Below are 20,446 nucleotides of genomic sequence, written 5' to 3'. Positions count from 1 at the left end.
AAAAATACTAGCAAATCAAATATAGCAGCATATGAGGAGAATTATATACAGTGACTATGTAGAATTTATCCTAGCAATGCAAGGGTGGTTCAACATAGGAAAATCAATCAATGTAATAAATCACTTTAATAGAACAAAGGGGAAAAGGCCACATACTCAACACAATTGATACAGAAAAGGCATGTGACAAAGTACAACACTATTTCATGATAAAAACACTCAGAGAACTAGGACTGGAGGGAACTTCCCCAACATGATAATGGGCATTTATGGGAAACCCACAGCTAACATCATACTCAATGCTGAAGGGCTGAAAGCTCTCCCTGTGAGAAGAGAACAAGACAAGGATGCCCACTTTCACTGCTGCTCAGCAAAGGAGCAGGTTACAGGAGCAAAATAAAAAATCAATTGTATTTCTATACATTAGCAATGAGAAACCCAAAAAGGAAATTAGAAAAGCAATTCCACTTAAAATAACATCTAAAAGAATAAAGTCCCTGGGACCGCCTAACCAAGGAGGTAAAAGAGGGCCAGACGCAGTCACTCACACCTGTAATCCCAGCACTTTGGGATGCTGAGATGGGGGAATCACTTCAGCCCAGGAGTTTGAGACCAGCCTGGACAACATGGCAAACCCTGTCTTTAAAAAAAAATACAAAAATTAGCCAGGCATAGTAGTAGGCACATGTAGTCCCAGTTACTTGGGAGGCTAATGTGGGAGGATTGCTTGAGTCTGGGAGTTCAAGGCTGCAGTGAGCCAAGCTTGCATCACTGCACTCCAGCCTAAGTGTCAGAGTGAGACTTTGTCTCTTAAAAAAAAAAAGAAAAAAAGGACGTGAAAGATTCGTACACTGAAAACTAGAAAACATCGCTACTGAAAGAAATTAAGCAAGACTTACGTAAATGAAAAGACATCCTATGTTCATAGATTGGCAGACTTAATGGTTAAGATGAGGTAGGTCCTACCCCAAGTGACCTAGAGATTCCCTGAAATTCCTGTCAAAACCTCACATGGCTTTTTTGCAGAAGTGCAAAAGCCAATCCTCAAATTCATATAGAAATGCAATGGGTCCTGAGAAGCAAAAACAATCTTGAAAGAGAAGAACCAGGTTGGAAGACTCACACTTATGGATCCCAAGAGTCACAAAGTGATAGTAATCAAAAGGGTGGGGCCCCACACAAGGATGCACACATGGACCCATGGAACTGAACTGGAGTCCAGACATGCACCTGCACATGTGATACTTTTGATAAGGGAGACAAGGTCACCCAGAGGGGAAAGAATAGTCTCTCCTACAAATAATGCTAGGATAACCCAATTTCTACACACCAAACAATGAATTTAACCCCCATCTTACAAAATCTGCAAAAATGAACTCAAAGTGGCTTAAAGACAGAAAAGGGCTCAAACTATAAAGCTATTTGTAGAAAACATAGATGCATTTCTTTGTGACTGTGAACCAGGCAATGGTTTCTTAGACATGTCACCAAAGCACAGGAAAAAATATAGATAAAATAAACTACCTAAAATTAAAAAGTTTTATGCTTTAAAAGATGCCATCAAAAAAATGCAAAGGCCATCCACAGAATGGGAAACATTTTTGTAAATCACGTATTTGTGAAGGAACTTGAATCCAGAATATATAAATCTGACAACTCCATTATAATAAGACAAATAATCCAAATAATAATGGGCATAGGAGCTGAATATTTCTCCAAAGAAGATGTCCTAACGGCGAAAGAGCACACAGAAAGGCGTTCAGAATCACTCACCAGTAGGGAAATGAAATCAAAACCACAGTGCGGTACCACTCAAGCCCCCTGGAGTGGACAGAGGGAAAAGGACACAGTTCCAAAGCTTGATGAAGATGCAGAGAAACTGGAACCTCGCACGCTGCTGGGGAAGGGAGAACAGGCTGGAGGGTCCTAAAAAGGCTGAACACAGAGTCACCAAAAGCCCCAGTGAGTCTACTCCGAGGTGCACATCCAAGAGAAATGAAAACACATCCAGGCAAAAGCCTGTGTAAGAATGCTTACAGCGACATCATTCATAGTTGCCAAAAAGTGGAGACGACCTCAATGCTGCCCGACGGATGAATGGACAAACATGGGGGCTGTACCGCACAATGGAAATGTTTTCAGCAATTAAAACCAATTAAGCCCAGAAACGTGCTGCACCAGGGAAGGGCCTTCAAAACCTTATGCCATGGGAAAGAAGCCAGTCACAAAAGACCACCAATGTACAATTTCATTCATATGAAGTGTGCAGAACAGGCAGATCTCAAAATGGAAAACAGATTGTTGATTCCCAGCATCAGGGTAGGTGAGAGGGCAGGCGGCTGCTAAGGCACAGGGTTGCTTTTTGGGGTGAAGATGTTTTAAATTGATTAGAGCGATGGTTGCACATACCTGTAAATCTACTGAATGCTACCGAATTGTACATCCTAAAGCGTGACTTTTATGGTGTGTGACTTATATCCCCATAAAGCTCGAATAAAATAAATACACGCATGTGATGAAGGAAGACATACACAGAAACTCAAAATTGAATATAGACACACTTCACTTAAAATTTTTCTTCACTTGCTTTAGAACTCAGGAAAAGATCTGTTTCATAACATTTAGGAAAGCAGTTATGTTTATTTTTTGCTTCTAAATCTCCTCCTTCTCCACAGAACAAAGAATGTGGCTGAAGCTGTTTCCTGTGTTGCTCTGATCACTATATGGCTCAGAGAAACATCTGAGGCTCTTAAATCAATAATCAAAGGTCCTGTGACAGTCATATACATCTCTTTTCTTTGCCTTCATTCTCACTTAACGTTCCGTGACCATGATTGTGGAGTCAGTAGACATTCCATCATTCCATTGTACACGTTTCTGTTCTCGCTTCAGTTCCTCATGAAAAGAAGCAAGGTATAAATTAGTAAATCTGTTAACTGACCCGATAATGTGAGTTTGAGTTACACACAAATGGCTGATGGTTACTTAATCCACCATCCAGATAACTGCTGAGGAAAGCTTAAGGGAAATCCTTAGATCTCGTCTGGGTGAGCTGGCAGAGGTTCTAGAACCCAGTGGGCTCTGCTGGTTCCCAGTCGTGGGATCCAAGATCTGGTCCTGGGACAGCTCACTGAGATCTTGCATTTCCTTATCTGTTTGAGGTTTGCCTTTATTTTTCCATAGTTCAAAGGGCTTTAAACCGAGGCTATACCTCAGCATCACCCAGGAAGTGTGTAAAGGACAAATTTCTGGACATCATCCCAGGCACAGTAAGACCATACCTCTGGGGTGCAGCTCAGGATATTTACTGATATCAGTAAATATCAGCAGCTACCAGGTTTATGCTCTGCCTTGTCTTACATTAGTTTTTATGTTTGATATTGTGTCTCCAACGGCCATTTTAATCTGAGTCATGCTGTATACTTAGCAGAATGTCTTAAACTACCAACAGAGGTCTCAATGAATGTTTGATAATGGAATGAATAAATAAATGTATTAAACAAATAAATGGATTAAACACAAAGAGGAAGTGTGCATTAGGGGCTCAGTGGAGGTAAGAATTTGGGTGAAGCTCTCCCCTAGGTTAGTTGGCAAAGTTTACATCCTCCGCAAATTTCCAAGGCTGGAATTGCTCCGAATAACACATGGTTAATATTCTCAAGTACTCTGATGCTCTTGAGAGGAAGGGCTCCGTAGAAAATCCTGGGCTCTGTAGAAAATCCTGTGCTGGTTACCAAACTGTGGATCCCTGGGCCGAATTCTGTGGAAACGATTCTGCTGCTGTGCTCACAGGAGCCGCTTTGTACTTTCTTATTTAAATGTTTTGTAAGAAAAATTCTACTGTTTCTAAAATCTTAGCCCCAAATAGATGAGACCTGGATGTTTGTGTGGTTTCAAACCATTTTCAAAGGTGGAACTGTATTATCCAGAAATGGTTGTATGGTTGCCATATTTCATATTTCCAGAAGGTACAGGCAGCTTCTGAGAGGAAGCACTGCTGGTCACGGCCGCCCACGCTGGGCTCTGTCCGCAGTGATGCCCCCTCCGTGGGGTAAGACACCAGCATGCGTCCAGCTCCCGGCAGCTCCCTGGAGTGGTCTGCAAGGCAGCAGAGCTGTGCAGCCACACCCGACTCCAGCGCCCAGCCCGGCAGGAAGTTTGCTACATTATGGTCACTAGGTGGGTGTTTTTTTTTCTTTTCTCATGAGGTCATAGAATTACAGAATTGGAGAGGTTTTAGATAGATCTTCTGTGGTATGAGTTTTAAAAGTGTTTTCCTGCCTTCCTTTCCCTCTCTTTCATTAATGACTCAACCCAGCCATTCAAACAAAATTTACAAAGCACCTGCTGCAAACAAGGTACCGTGGTAGACAGTGAGTGAAACAGCCCCTGCTCCAAAGCCTTCAGTTGGGTGGTGGTACCGGCAATAAACAGATAAACAGGCAAACGTCAGACAGTGACAAACACTCTAAAAAACGCGGGGCAAGGGGCTCATCACCCCATGTTTCGGGCCTTTACCCGCTGGGACAAGTGTGGTGGGGAGGGCTTGACCAGGGCAGAGACCTAAGGAAGTAGGACGTATCTCTGAGGGTCCTGGGTGGAGGGTTCCAGGCACGGTGCGTCCACAGCTCTGAGTTGGTGCCTGTGGCGGCACTGCCAGGGAGGAGGACCACAGGGAGAGCAGGCAAGAGGAGGCCCTGTCTGGGTCCTGAAGGGTGGGGCTGGCAATAATAACAGGACTTTGCTGGGCTTCTGAGTCTGGAGGCCATAGGAGCAGAGAAGAGATGGGAAGCCACTGATGCTTGAGGGGGTCTCCCTGGCTGTTGAGGATGGACTGAGGGGCTTGGGGGGCACAGGAAGAAGGCAGGGAAGGGAGGCCCTACAAGGACACGGGCCGTGGTGCTCATGGCACAGCTGTGTCCCACCTGCTGGCTCTGAGGTGTGTCACACATCCACACAGAAGGTCTTCTATATCAAGCACAGCTAGACATGCAAAGCGATGCAATGTGGGCAGGTCTCGCTGTCGGCATCCTCCAAACAGGAAAGTGGAGTCTGGAGAGGGAGAAGGTGGCCCCTTCACAGCTCCTGGTGAGGGCGGGCATCCTTCAAACAGGAAAGTGGGGCCTGGAGAGGGAGAAGGTGGCCCCATCACAGCTCCCGGTGAGGGTGCGGGACCCTGGCAAGGCTCAGTGCACCCCAGTCCACTCTGCGTCGCGCTTCTGGCTCCAGGCACAAGTTAAATTCTCACTCAACTCGTGGGGATGGGCTTGTTATCTCCCAGTGCACCGAGATTAGAGCCGTCCATCATAGGAACAGTCGCCAGTGTTGTAATGGTGTGGCTAACCACGTGGTAACCTGTTTTCCTCTTCGGAGTCCTCACCCAGATGGACTTGACAACTTGTCTGTGGATTGCATCTCAATGTGGAAGGCATCCGGCCAACAGCAGCGATTAAGTCCCAGAGAATATGTGCTGCCTGAGCTCTCTCAGAGTCTGTTGGTGGACATGCTGTTAGTTATGAAAACAAACGAAAAAAGATGAGTGACAGGCCAGGTGCCGTGGCTCATGCCTGGAATCCCAGCACTTTAGGAGGCTGAGGCAGGTGGATCACTTGAGGTTGAGAGTTCAAGATCAGCCTGGCCAACACGGTGAAACCCCATCTCTACTAAAAATACAAAAATTAGTCAGGCGTGGTGGTGTGCACCTGTAATCCCAGCTACTCAGGAGGCCGAGCCATGAGAACCACTGAAGCCTGGGAGGTGGAGGTTGCAGTGAGTGGAGATCGCACCATTGCATTCCAGCCTAGGCAAAAGCAAGACTCTGTCTCAAAAAAAAAAAAAAAAAAAAGATGAGTGACAGCTGTCATGACACGAGGGGCTGTGCCTCAGGGTGGGGATCTGAGGGTGCTGTGCTGATGATTCACACACATGTCCACCCGGGGCGTGACTCTCTGGAGTTCTGAGTGGCTGTGGCCACGCTGCGGGGAGGGCTGCACCCTGGGGCTTTGCCTCTGATAAGAGAGGTTGGAATGACAATGGTACAATCCAATTCCTAGAAAAGAGGGCCAGGGCATTCTAGACACTCGCAACAGAAAGCAAGCGGTGAGCATGGGAGCGGGGGAGGAGGGACGGAGACATAAGCCCCTCCCTATCTGTTCTGTACCTGCACAGAATGCGCCCTGCACGGAGCAGCTTTCATCTTTTCACAAAATGGTTATCTTATCATGCAGTCTGAGCCCTGAGCCTGAAAGAAATCAGCCCGGGGATCTAAGAGGAAGTTAATATGTTCTTCATTTCCTCTCCATTCAATTCTGCTTAGGTGCTCAGGGAATTCTGTGTTTGTGGAGAGAACATGTTTTAAAATGTGCCCAGCCTTTTGGGGGCATAATGAAATTGGGGGAACGGACAGCCTGGAGCTCAAGGGAGTACTGCAGGTGAGAAATAACTTTTGAACACACTATAGAGATTTTAATTAGTTAAGTGTATTTGGGTGGATGCAGATAGTGATAAAAAGAAGAGAGAATTGAGAATGAATGGGAGAGAAAACAGGAAGGAAAAGGAAGAAAAGGCAGGGAATGCAGGGAGGACTGAGGCCATGCTGCATGGGACATGAGTGCCTCGGCAGCCCCAGCAGCATCAGCAGCCCCGAGCCCTGCAGGTGCCCCAGGCCAGCTTCTCATCCTCAAATGCAGGCACTTTGCATGAGGCTACAGCTGCCCTTACCATGGACAGCAGCTCTCTGTTCCCCCCGCAGTATCTTCCTCTGATTCACCTCCTTACTTATGGCCACTCCATCCATCTTTAAGACCCATTGTAAGAGCTTTCTTCTCCTATGAGCATCTTCTTAAACTCTCCCACCTAAATTTAGCTCTCTTTTCTCTGAATATTAGAATTTTATCTGCACTTTTCCTATGACATTTACTCCATCCATCCATTTATCCATTTGTCCTTCCTTCCTTCCTTCCTTCCTTCCTTCCTTCCTTCCTTCCTTCCTTCCTTCCTTCCATCCTTTCATCCATCCATCCATCCTTCCATCTATCCTTCCATCCTTGCATCCATGAAGCCACAGGCATCACGAGTTCCAGGCTCCACAGTAGATGTTGGGGATAGAGAGATGAGCAGGATGGTCCCTGTCCTACGGAAGCAAGATCTGGTGTTCAAAGTCTAATAGCAGAAAAGGGTGAGTAAGCCAGTCCTTGGAATGGGGTTTTTCCTGCAGACAGAGAGAGGTACACGGGGTGCAGCTGAGAGACTGGGGCAGGGTGGTGGTGGCAGGCATGGGAGAATCAGGGAAGGGTTTGGCAGATATCATTTGGAACTCAAGGATAGGTAATCATTTTAATGACATAAAAACTGTCATGGCCTCCCCATTTTCCTGCCTTGTTCACCTCCACCCCAACACACACTCACCACACACACAGGCACACACAACTATGTGCACATGTGTAACCACACATGCATGATTATGCACATGCACAAACTTGCACGCACACGCAAACACACAGATGCACATGCTTTTGTACACACATATGCATGCATGCACACCCATTAGGTCGTAAGCTCCAGGAGAACCCAGAGGCTTGACAGCCAGGCTGCAGAGCTGCAGGGGTCTACCACATACCACACACCACACACCACACACCACATACCACATACCACATACCACATACCAGTGGTGCTGCCTTGGGAGACTTCCTGACTACTTCTCCGAGGTGTGAAGGGCCCGTAATCATTGTACCGGCCTTGGAGGGTCGTGGTGAGCATTAAATGAGCCAACAGAGGTAAACATCCTAGACCATGCCAGGCCCGCAGCAAGCAGATGACATATTAGCGACTGTGAGCACTGAATGCCCTCATGTCGCCTCCTGGGCCTGGCCAGCGCCTCCTACAGGGAGGAATTAGTTCAATGGTGTCAAAGTGAAATATTTGAATGGAAATAAAAATAAAGAGGTGGGAAAACTTGGGAGAGAAGTGGCAGAAAAGGAATGGGATGCTTTGGGCAAAAGGGAGACAAAATGAATATGAGACCAAACGCGGGTTCAGATTCAGAGTCTGCTGACTGCACCTGAGGACAGGGCTGGCCTTGACATCTTTCTCTAGAGAGCCCTCGGGGACAGTCAGGATGCAGGGCTGGCCCCATGGAATTTATACTACACTTTCGCAGAAGCACAAAGTCCATCACGCCAGGCTCAAAATGCTTTCAGATCAAGGTGGTGCTCTGGTTTACCGAATGGAAAAAGGAAGATCTTTTCGTTCACTTGAAAATTCAGAATTTTAATGCACCTGCCTCTGTATGGCTAATCTGACCCCATGGATGTTAGATAATCCTTTTTTAGGAATGAATAAGATATTGGTTCTCGGGTATGAAATGAGAGGCAGTTTTCATGGTCGTCGGCATGGTGCTGATTTCATGTGGTTCTGCTAACAATCCCGGGAAGTCGTCAGTCACTACCCATGACTGGCAGATGACAACATTACTGCTCCAAGAAGGTGACTTTCCCAAGTTCAGATGGCTTGTAGGTGCCCAAGTTCCAGCCAGAACCACGGTGCCCTGGCTTCTGTCTCTTCCACTCCATCAACCAACAGTTCTCCTGAATACTCAGGGTGCCCCCACCTGCCCTAGGTGCTTGTCCTGCTACACCGAGTTGACTGTCACAAACGGTTTAATTCCTTTAATGGAGAAACTGGGGCTAATGCTACTCACGTGTCATGACTGTTACATTATAGCCGACACACTAGACTCTCAGGTGAGCCTCGGAGAGGATGGCAACGTGTCTGCCACGCAAGGGATGTCAGAGCAGTGCTTGTGGTGCTTGTGCTGGCTGACCACCAACACCATCCATCCACAGCACCGTCCATGCCCTAGTCATCCAGGCTTGGGACCTGAGAGCCGGCACAGGGCAGCCCACTGTCTGCCTTCAATGCCCTGCAAGTCTCTGGCACACATCGATGCTCAACAATGTGTCCTAAGTGGAGATATGTGAGAATTCTGCTCAGAGCTCACCTCCTCTTGCAACACCAGGGCCGTTGCACCAAGGTGGACGAAAACAACACTGTGTGATAAAACCACATCAAGAAATAGCACACGAAGTATGCCTTAAAAATAACTCCACATTTGCCATTTTTGGTAAAACCAAATCCATCACACATCTTACCAACAATGCAAGAGTTCACAACAACGTGTGTGCCAGGCATGCCCATCTGACCGCTTGAACACGTCTGTGCTAGGCATGCCCATCTGACAGCATGAACAACATGTGTGTCGACACACTCAGCCCCGTAAAATCCTGCCCTCTTGGCCATCGTTCCTGACCCATCGTGGGGTGAGGCCAGGCAAGCGCATTTCATGTTTGTGGGTGATTGAGAGGATAAATCACATCCTCTTTCTCAGGGCGTGTGAAATCCAGACACTGAGGGCAGGAGTTTGTCAGTGGGCTCACAGCAACATGGAGAACAATTCAGCTGCCAGGCTCAATTCAGCTGTCCAGGGCTGAGGCTGTGATGACCAGGGCTACAGCCCAGCCCTCTGAGTGTCTTCACAGAGGCGGCCACTACCCCTGGGGGGACTTCTGGGCATCTGTCGGGGAGCGGCCAGCACTTGCTGAGACAGGGCCTGCCTCCCTCGATTCCTCCCGTGGCTCCACAGGACCTTGCCCTACAGAAGGTGGCTCCGGGTGCCTGCCCTTTGCAACCAGAAAGAGCTTAATGAAATGAACGCTTGGGACACGAAAACAGTGCGCTCTGGCAAATGGAGTCAAAAGGCCACCTTGGAAATGGAGCTGGCCAAGAAGATTTCATCCATTCAACACAATCTCAGCTAATATTTAGGATTTCATTAACTCTTATAATGTGTTCCAGAGTGGGTCGTGCAAAGTCTGATTTCACACACACGCAAGCACACGTGCGCACACGCACACACATCACGCGCACACACACTTACACTCACACACGTACACGTGCACTCACACACATGCACACACAAACACACACAGCCTTGTGATTAATCTTTGACCAGCAGGTTCTCAGACCAGCAGGTTCAATAGCGAGATGGACAAAAAATCCATCTTTAAGAAACATCTTTAAAAAAAATCCCCACTGATTCCACATATATCAAAGTTCTAATTTTAAAGAAAAACTGCTCATAGATGTCTTTTGATTGGTACAAGGTGAACATAAGGAGTTTTGTGATTCTAAACTCAGGTGTTCAACTCTTCAACTCTTTCAGAATTTCATTACATTTTCGATTAAGCATTATGGTGAGCACATTTGCAACTTAATTGCCCTTGATTACCAAATGACATCTTATTTATAGGCAAAATAAGTAGCTTTAAAACAGATCTTTATTGTAACATTAGAAAACAATGACTTCCAAAGCACAAAAGAAAGCTGCTATCAGTTGTAAACCTAATCTCATTATTCCTGAAGCCAAAAGGTCATACCTTACTTTCTGTGCTAGAAAATTTGCCTTGTGACACACACTTTTCGCTTCACAAAAGTAATTATAATTGTTTCCCAAATATCTTCCTGAGTTTCCTTTGAAACAAGATCAGGGGCTCCTTAATTTAAACCAACCAATCAATCTTTCTCTTTTACCTTTTATACGGTTTTGGGTGATTATATTTTTGCTTTGACACAAATTTATAACCTGCTGACAATTTCCAAATGTATATATCAGAATACAGCAAAAGAAGAATGCTTGTTTTAAAACATTTGACTTTTAATAATTATTTCATAAGCAAATGTAATTTTGAAATATGTATTCATAGTATTTTATTTTTTTAGATAAAGTCTTGCTCTGCTGCCCAGTCTGGAGTGCAGTGGTGTGATGATAGCTCACTGTCGCCTCAAACTCCCGCTCAAGCAATCCTCCCACCTCAGCCTCCTGAGGAGCTGGGACAACAGGCTCAGGCCGCTGTGCCAGGCTATTTTTTAATTTTTTTGTAGAGACAGGGTCTCTCCACATTGCCTGGGCTGATTGACAGTATTTTTAAGGTACTATTGATGACCTTCTCAGTTTATCAACTTGAAGTTTTATGAAAATTAAGTTAATTTTAAGTTTTAAGATGACAGAAACTCAGAACCTTTGGTATAAACATTGCAAGTTAAAATCCAAATTTTAATTAAAATTTAAAATTTAAATTTAAATCCTGAAAATAGTCAGACAGTATTTATTTATTGCCATCAGTGCACACAGCATTTTTAGGAAAAACACATTCTTTTTTTTTTTGGAGACAGAGTCTCACTCTTTCGCCCAGGCTGGAATGCAGTGGCGCGATCTCGGCTCACTGCAAACTCTGCCTCCCAGGTTCACACCATTCTCCTGCCTCAGCCTGCCGAGTAGCTCGGACTACAGGTGCCCGCCACAACGCCCGGCTAATTTTTTTTTTGTTTGTATTTTTAGTAGAGACGGGGTTTCACCATGTTAGCCAGGATGATCTTGATCTCCTGACCTCATGATCTGCCCACCTCGGCCTCCCAAAGTGCTGGAATTACAGGCATGAGCCACTGCGCCCGGTTGAAAAACATATTCTAAAAATCAAATGATAAATAGGCAACATCAATATGGATTTATGCCGTTAATCTTTTTTTTTTTTTTTTCCCTAGAATCAGTGACTAACAACTGCACATTTTTTAACATGACAAATTTCTTCGGGGGAGAATATCTCATTTGGGAATCTATAAATCAGGCCTATGATTTTGAAAGAATCATCTGGAAATAATTTATATGCAAGGAGAGTAGACAGAAGTGCAGGTGAATGCATCTCAGAGCCCAACAAAGGTGTGATTTCACCGTGGGGCATACGTGGTGCTCGGCAGGTGGAAAGGCAGCCACGCTCATGAGGACTTTAAAAAGTTAGGCTGGACTTGTATTCCTCTCCTAGGAAGAGCCTTTTTGTGAGTTCAATTCCTTAAAATTGTTTCAAAACATTTGACTATAACCGAACCTCCTAACTGACGTCAGTAGAAAGCAGAGAAAGAGTATTTTCACAAACCCGATCTTTCCTTTCTACCTATTTTAAAAAGTAACTCTATTGTAAATTAAATTAAAAGTTTTTGCACATTTCTTTGAATCAAATACATACATTAAAAATTAAAATATACTGTTATGATTAGGATGCAGTAAAGCAAGAATTGATTATTTGAGGGCATTTATCAGTTAGTGTGACCTTCTGAGAAATAAATTGACCCAAATCTTAAGAGCCATAAAAATGTTTCCATCCTTTGGGTAGGTAATTATAGTATTCCATATGAAAATACTCTTAAACAAAGACACTGCAGAAGGATGTTTCTGTATCAGAAAACCAATCTCGTATTGCTTATTTACTTACTCCCTGACACATTCTAAAAAGGAGCTAATTTGATTTGCAAATACAAATGAGAAAGTCAGGTAAATTTATAAAGCATTTAGATATGAAGCAAGAGAGAGAAGGATCGGAATGGCAGTGGCATGGGAAGGAGGTTTCCACAAAGAGTGCGTTCCAGGACCTCCCCCATGTTATGTGAGAGGAAAACCTTTGGGCCCCAATATCACTAAGCTAAAGGGAAAAATCAGGCTGGGAACTGCTCAGGGCAAACCTGCCTCCCACTCTATTCAAAGTCATCCCTCTGCTCACTGAGACAGATGCATATGCTGACTGTCTCCTTCAAAGGGCTTATCAGAAACTCAAAAGAATGCAACCATGTGTCTCTCACCTTCCTATGACCTGGAACCCCCTCTGGACGGAACCAGTGTACTTCTTACGTATATTAATGTCTCATGTCTCCCTAAAATGTGTAAAACCAAGCTGCGCCCCAACCACCTTGGGCACATGTCCTCAGGACCTCTTGAGGCTGTGTCACGGGTGTGCGTGACAACCTTGGCAAAATAAACTTTCTAAATAAACTGAGACCTGTCTCAAATGTTCAGGGTTCACAGTTAGCTATGGGCATGATTTACATGTAGCTCTAACTTTCTGCCAGTCAATGCAAGGAGAGAAACAAAATTTAGTTATGCACACACCAAGACCACACGAGTTGGTCAGAAAAATACATTTCAAAATCAAAAGAGAATTTTCCTCTTAGAGAATATTAAAATATAAAAAAGGAAATATACATCCTAAACACTAATATATCTACTTTATTTTGAGACAGAGTTTCATTCTTGTTGCCCAGGCTGGAGTGCAATAACATACTTAATATTTAAAAGATTCCTGTAAATAAGAAAACATTTCCTTCAAAAAATTATCAGTATGAAATAATTTCATAGACATGAAAATACAAATTAATACCAAATAGCTGAAAAAAATTCTAACCTCACTAACAGTCAAACCACTGAACTAAATGAAGAAAACAGCTTTTGAAATACAGGTCCTTTTAGCAAGTAATTTGACCTGGAAACTTATTCTAGGAGAATACAGAAAGAAGCTTTTCCTTATCTCATTATTATCTCTTATGAAATTTGTCCCAGGTTAAGAACCTGAACACACACACACACACACACACACACACACACGCACACGCTCTCTAATAATATCTTACTATTTAATTAATGCACCATACTTAACCAGTTGCCTGCTTTTTTAGCGGGGAGGGGAGGAACTTAAGTTGCTTCAAAAATAAACTTAAAAAAGAAACAAAGTTTCAGCACTTTCAAGGGAATGTGGAATACATTTGGAAACTTTATGGTTTCTCAATATTTATTAAACAGAAAACATTGGAATGAACTTTCAAAGTGAGGAATGTTAGAAAACAAATTTTTGTACCTAACCATTTATATATGGAATCCAAAAATGTTCTTTACAGTTGGAATTTCAGCCTACTGAATTCCTGATAGACCAGATCACACCACTGGCTGATATTCACACATAGGAAACAGTCTCTTCTGACCCCAAGTCTTCACCTACCTCTGCTGGAAGTGGGGAAGGTATGCACGTGGAATTGTTATAATCACCACAACAATTTGAGTGTCTGTTGCAGGAAGTCAGGGACCCCAGACGGAGGGACTGGCTGAAGCCATGGCAGAAGAACGTGGATTGTGAAGATTTCATGGACATTTATTAGTTCCCCAAATTAATACTTTTGTAATTTCTTATGCCTGTCTTTACTGCAGTCTCTAAACATAAACTGTAAAGATTTCATGGACACTTATCACTTCCCCATTCAGTACCCTTGTGATTTCCTATGCCTGTCTTTACTTTAATCTCTTAATCCTGTCAGCTGAGGAGAATGTATGTCGCCTCAGGACCCTGTAATAATTGCATTAACTGCACAAATTGTACAGCATGTGTGTTTGAGCAATATGAAATGTGGGCACCCTGAAAAAAGAACAGGATAACAGCAATTGTTCAGGGAATAAGAGAGATAACCTTAAACTCTGACCACCGGTGAGCTGGGCAGAACAGAGCCATATTTCTCTTCTTTCAAAAGCAAATGGGAGAAATATCGCTGAATTCTTTTTCTCAGCATGGAACATCCCTGGGAAAGAGAATACGTGCCTGGAGGTATAGGCTTATAAACAGCCCCCCCAGGTGCACCTGTCTCCTGTGGTTGAGACTGTAGGGGTGAAATAGACCCCAGTCTCCCATAGTGCTCCCAGGCTTATTAGGAAGAGGAAATTCCTGCCAAATAAATTTTGATCAGACCGGTTGATCTCAAAACCCTGTCTCCTGATAAGATGTTATCAATGACAGTGGTGCCCGAAACTTCATTAGCAATTTTAATTTCGCTCCCGTCCTGTGGTCCTGTGATCTCACCCTGCCTCCACTTGCCTTGTGGTATTCTATTACCTTGTAAAGTACTTGATGTCTGTGACCCACACCTATTCGCACACTCCCTCCCCTTTTGAAACTCCCTAATAAAAACGTGCTGGTTTTTGTGGCTTGTGGGGCATCATGGAACGTACCGACATGTGATGTCTCCCCGGATGCCCAGCTTTAAAATTTCTCTCTTTTGTAGTCTGTCCCTTTATTTCTCAAGCTGGCCAACGCTTAAGGAAAATAGAAAAGAACCTACGTGAATATCGGGGCAGGTTCCCTGATAAGTGTCTGTTCAAAGAGTAATTATTTGCCATTTTTTCACATTGTTCAAGCTTAACTTCTGTAATTTTTTAATGTTCACCATATCAGCAGTTGTCTGGAATTTTTGGCAACTCGAGTCCCTGCCTTGGGTTTGACAGCACCTGGTGACTCACTCTCTTTGGGTAATTAATATTTTTGGTGCTTTCTATAAACATGAATTTTTCTCAGCATATGATGAACACTCCAACCCTCAGCTCTCCTGTTGCTTCTGAAGTCTTCGGTCCATCTTGTTGGCCACCACTGAGATAATCTGTGGCATGAAAGACATCATAAGAAGGTGATATGGCCAGGCTTTGTGTCTCCATCTAAATCTCATCTTCAATGACAATCCCTATAATCCCCATGTTTCAAGGGAGAGACCAAGTGGAGGTCATTGAATCCTGGGGGCTGTATCCCCCATGCTGTTCTCATGATAGTGAGTGAGATCTCACAAGATCTGATGGTTTTACAAGGGGCTCTTCCCCTTCTCCTTCCTGCTACCTTGTGAAGTAGGTGCCTTGCTTCCCCTTCACCTTCCGCCACGATTGTAAGTTTCCTGAGGCCTCACCAGCCATGCTGAACTGTGAGTCAATTAAACCTCTTTCCTTTATAAATTACCCAGTCTCAGGCAGCTCTTTATATAAAGCAGTAGGACAACAGACTAATACAGAAGGATTTTTAGCCACTATAATTTTATAAACATGAGGAAGGTTAAATATCACGTGAACATTTTAGGAAATGCTAGGAATCAATAAGTGAGGAAAGAACTGATTTTTAAAAATTGCAGAAAGGCTTTTACTGTTTCCTGAGCATCACTATTTTCTGCCTGGAAGCACCTAGGAAATCAAGCATTTGTTTGCTTTCTGTAAAAGGGGAGCTCCCAGTCCTTCCTTAAGATGGCAGGACATTCCTTTCCTGTGTCTCCTCCTTGGCTCATCCTCCTGTTTCCAAACAGGAAGGCCAGGCTCCTTACTGCCAGGGCCTGTTTCAGCTCGGTCATCTGGTCACCCACTCACCTGTCCCTACAGCTGCAATGGCAAAGCCATGTTGACTGAGGACAAGAGGCTCCAGGCGGAAGGTGGTGACAGGAGACAGAGCCAGCATCACATTTATTCTCAGCATGAGAATCACCTGGGGTATCGCAGGCCAGCCCCCGGGTGGGCCCTGAGAATCTACATTTCTGTCAAGTTCCTAGCTGCTGCTGCTCCTGGTGGAGGCACCGCCCTTTGAGAAGTTTTCATAGATGTGAGATCTCCCAGTGCTCTGGGCTTAGGAGTTTATGACGTCTTCTGTTTTGCTTTACTTTCTTCCTCTGCCCTCATCCCTGGCACTGGGGTGGGAACAATGCCCTGTTCACTCCAGGCCTGGGCAGTGAGCCAGGAGTGTTCGTGGGCTCAGGTCCTCCTGGGATACTTGTCCTCCTGCCTGGGGTGGGCTCCTGCTTGGGCCTAGACCTGGCCAGTGGCCTGAGGAGGAAAGCTAGAAAGCCTCGGGGCAGCTGTTCCAGCAGTGGAACCCAGTAACCCAGGAGGAGGTGCTGTTTTCAAAGGTATCGCTGCGTCCGACGGGGTGGAGGCCTGGACCGCACAGCAGTCACTGCCGTGCAGTGGCTGGAAGCCACGTTATTGATGGTTCCTCCAGGAGAGGCAAAGCTTTCTGTATTTTAAGCCTCTTTCAGTAAGGACTTTTTTCTTTTAGCTGAAGTGTCATAACTGTACAAAAAATGTCCATGAAAATTGTATGTAATACAATCAGTTGAATGAACTTTTTTTTTTTTGCAGATACTTAAAAGCATAGTTGAACATAAAGATGAGCTGTGTATTTTTTTTTTCAAACAGAAAATATTAAAAATGGGTGGACTTTCCCTTGGGCTTCAGGTAGCACATGTCCTGGGAGATGCTAAACGCGTGCACTGTGTCCCCCTGAGGGGGGTGGCAGGTAGAGTCCTGCTTGTCCTTGACCCCTCGTGCCAGCCCCAGTTACGCCGTGCATGCTGCATAGACACAGGCAGGAGTGTTTTACATTCTGAATATTTCCGTTCCGTTCCCACATAGATAGGTTATAAAAGGAAGCGTATTTCAGTTCTCTTCTTTCCTTAGGAAAAATAGAAACTTTTCTCACTCTCAGAAATGCACTGGAATTTACCCATTTTACTTCCCTCTCCATGGCAATGAATCTGTGCTGATCCCAATTAAAGTCTGACAAAGACCAGAGCTGCTGTGTGAGACACTAATTTCATGTTTGAACTTATTATGGCTTTCCACTGACATCCTCTTCCTGGCGCCATCTGTCCTGCACGTGAGAAGCGGGAGCTTGCCTGTGACGGTGACTTGACTCAGAGATGTGCCAGGTGGCCCCTCCCGGAGGGGATCAGTGGGCAAGGGCCTCTGGCTGGAGCCGGGTGGATGGTGGTGTCACTCAGGCATGGGGCAGCAAAGGCTCTGGTGAGACTTGAAAGCTGGGGTGGGACATTTTGTTTGTGAGAAGCCTGGACAAGAGGACGAGGTGCACACCATGTCAGTCACGGATTTGTGAACTCACAGGAGAGGGTTGGATAGGGCGTGTGAACGTGAGCCCGCGGTGTAGACGATGTGAAGCTGTGGTAACGGGTGGGCTTGTGATGGCACCCGCTGCTCGCAGGAGAGGGTTGGATAGGGCATGTGAACGTGAGCCTGCAATGTAGACGATGCGAAGTCGTGGTAACGGGTGGGCTTGTGACGGCACCCGCTGCTTGCAGCCTAACTCGAGGCCACACCACGTTTCCTTTGCTCTTGCCCTGCCCTCTCCTCTCCAAGGTGGCAAAGCCACCGCCCCCTTTCCAGGCTCTGCTGCAGGAGGGCTGCCCAGAGAGAACCCTGGGCCTGAGAGGTAAATGGAAGTCACGTAGGGGAGTCTCTGGGAAGCTCTGGGTTTCCAATAACAGGGATAGACGTAGCTCACACCACTGCAGCTCCCTCCTTCCTCTCTTGATGTGGAGTTAGTGGCTGGATACCTGGCAACCTCCTTGCAACCAAGAGGACTTAAAGTCAACCCAATAAGGATGGCAGAGTGAAAAGATGAAGAAAGCCTTTGTCTTCAGTGGCAGAACTCAGCGGTCAGCCAGGACTCACCACCGTCCTCCTCGGGAAGTCTCGCTATGAGAACAAACCAGCTTTGCTTGTTCAAATGATTGTAATTCAGGTGTTTCATCATCTGCTTCCAAAATAAAGAGGCAGCACTGCCCATGATTATGGTCCTGGGCTCCGGAGTCTAAGTTGAATGAGTCTAAATCCAGCTCCACCACTGACTGCCCTTGGACCCACATGCATTCCCACCCTCTGAGCCCCCAATTCCTCCCCTGTGAGTGGGGGAGACTCTCAGCCCTGCCGGTAGGCGTGCAGGTAAGAGGTAGGAAGGTTAACGCAGGTGAGGCGCTGTCACAGAGCAGGGCTATGGACCCGTGAGTGTAAAAACACAATCGCCACCGCAACGTCCACCTGGGGAGTCAATGCAGGAGGCTCCAGCAGAGGAGGGAACAGCGTTCAGGAACTGAAGCCCGTTGGGAACACCATGGGAACTGAGAAGCGCTCACAGCATTGTCATTACATTGTTACTCCCAAATCTGAAACTTACTGGCTGCCACGGTGACGCTCAGAGGAAATGCTCACTGGAGCGCTTTGGAGTTCAGAGTTTTGGATTAGGGATGTTCACTTGGCAAGTATGTAATGCAAATGTCCCCCATTCCAAAAAAATTCCAAATCTGAAACACGTCTAATGCCAAGCATTTCAGAAGAGGGATACTTAGCCTGCAGCATAAATCCACTTTACAGACAAAGCCAAGACACACCAAGGTCCCATCACCGCCCAACGTCACACAGGAGATGAGGCCAAGACATGCTGAGGTCCCGTCACTACCCAATGTCACACAAGAGATGAGGCCAAGATACACCTAGGCTCCATCACTGCCCAACACCACACAGGTGATTTGGGGCATTTTGCTAAGAGGCTGGGAGTGAGGATACACTGTATAAGCAGAGGTGAGATCAGGAAGAACCTCCCAGCATTAGAATCTCAAGGTGACTTTTTAAATCTACTATTCTTTCTGCGATTCGCACATGGTTGGATCTGGGAATTCACTAAATCTTTAGAAGTGTGGAGCTTCTGCTGTGTAAGTCCTGAGTTCTTCCATTTTCTGAGGACCGCAGCTTTGGGGTCTGCCCACCTCCCTGTTCTGCCATCGCCAGGATTGTACACTGGGACTCTGATGGTCACCATCAATAACTGCGCAGCTCAGAAAAAATGGATGGAAAATGCTCCTGTAATTCCACCAGCTAACAGCAATCAATTTCATTCAGAAAAATCCAACTAAAATAAAAAGCCATTAACCAAAAACTAAACATTAGATAATACATAGTGGTAGTAACTTGTCAGAAGCCTGGTTTGAATTTTGAACTCATGACTTTAAGGTAAGTTTGCTCCCCAAAAGTTTCAACAATGTCATATATCAAAAAAAAAAAAAAAAAAAAAAGACATCAGAGTCCTAGAGACACACCGGTGAATTGCTTTGAAGTTGTTGCCTCAGGAGACCTAACAACAGCTGAAAATCCAGAAGCTGTACAAAAAGGACCAAGGAATTTGAGCACACTCAGCACTTCTGAACAGAAAGAAAACAATGGAAGCAAAGTAAAGGCAAATGAAAGCCAGGGAAAGGATTGGCTGCTCCGCCATCCACAAAAGGACAATCTCCCCGCAAAACCACCAAGAAGTCAAGAAGAAAAATACCAACAAATAACCGGGGACAAATGGCCAAGGGTGTGCAGGAGGGTTAGCAGAACACAGCGCTAAAAGGTCCCAGGATCATGTGGGAAGATGATGAACCCACGGGTGGTAAGAGTGATGCAGACGGAAGGACCTGAGATGTTCACAGAAAGCCCAGGTCTGTGGCAAGGCGGTGGGAAGACTGTAAGCTGGTCCGATGACTGTGTCCCTCTCACTGTGTGACGTCACTTGTACCCTTGGAAAGGCAATGAGAAGGTTTTTTATGTGATTATATGGAAAGAGCTCCAGGATCTATTTTTTTGAGAAGATGATATGGGGACACAAAAACGCACGGAGGGATGACGCTGTGAGGACACAAGGAGAAGATGGGGTTTGCATGCCAGGGAGAGGGGCCTCAGCAGGATTCAGCTCTGCCATACCTTGGTCTTGAACTGCAGCCTCCAGGACATGGGAGAATCAACGTCCGTTGTTTAAGCCGCCCAGTCTGGGCTCCTTAGTTAGGGCTGCCCAAGCTGACTCTACAGGGAGCATTTCAGTTCTGCAAACAACGCTAAATGTGACTCACACTGCTTGGAAGCACAGCTGGGGGTAGCCAGGCTCCTTCCTCCCAGTCAGCACCGGTGAGGGTCTGTGTTGTCCCCTAAAGAGACAACCTT

At 45.5% G+C, this 20,446-nt stretch overlaps 1 protein-coding gene across 1 annotated transcript in view, besides 2 other annotated features; it reads right to left on the bottom strand.

The window, feature by feature from the left end:
• Positions 1 to 20,446, bottom strand: part of DLGAP2 (DLG associated protein 2) — a 970,849-nt gene that overhangs the window by 163,746 nt on the left and 786,657 nt on the right. The gene's annotated exons all lie outside the window — the stretch shown is intronic.
• Positions 4,419 to 4,918: an enhancer, noted in NCBI's record as "H3K4me1 hESC enhancer chr8:1487979-1488478 (GRCh37/hg19 assembly coordinates)". NCBI's record gives its function as "activates a minimal SCP1, AML or CMV promoter by ChIP-STARR-seq in naive H9 embryonic stem cells {active_cell/tissue: H9 hESC(naive)}" and the evidence as "EXISTENCE:reporter gene assay evidence [ECO:0000049][PMID:30033119]".
• Positions 4,919 to 5,420: an enhancer, noted in NCBI's record as "H3K4me1 hESC enhancer chr8:1487477-1487978 (GRCh37/hg19 assembly coordinates)". NCBI's record gives its function as "activates a minimal SCP1, AML or CMV promoter by ChIP-STARR-seq in naive H9 embryonic stem cells {active_cell/tissue: H9 hESC(naive)}" and the evidence as "EXISTENCE:reporter gene assay evidence [ECO:0000049][PMID:30033119]".

Source organism: Homo sapiens, chromosome 8 (genome assembly GCF_000001405.40).
Source record: "Homo sapiens chromosome 8, GRCh38.p14 Primary Assembly".
NCBI lineage: Eukaryota > Metazoa > Chordata > Mammalia > Primates > Hominidae > Homo > Homo sapiens.
This window is presented reverse-complemented; position numbering and strand designations above follow the sequence as displayed.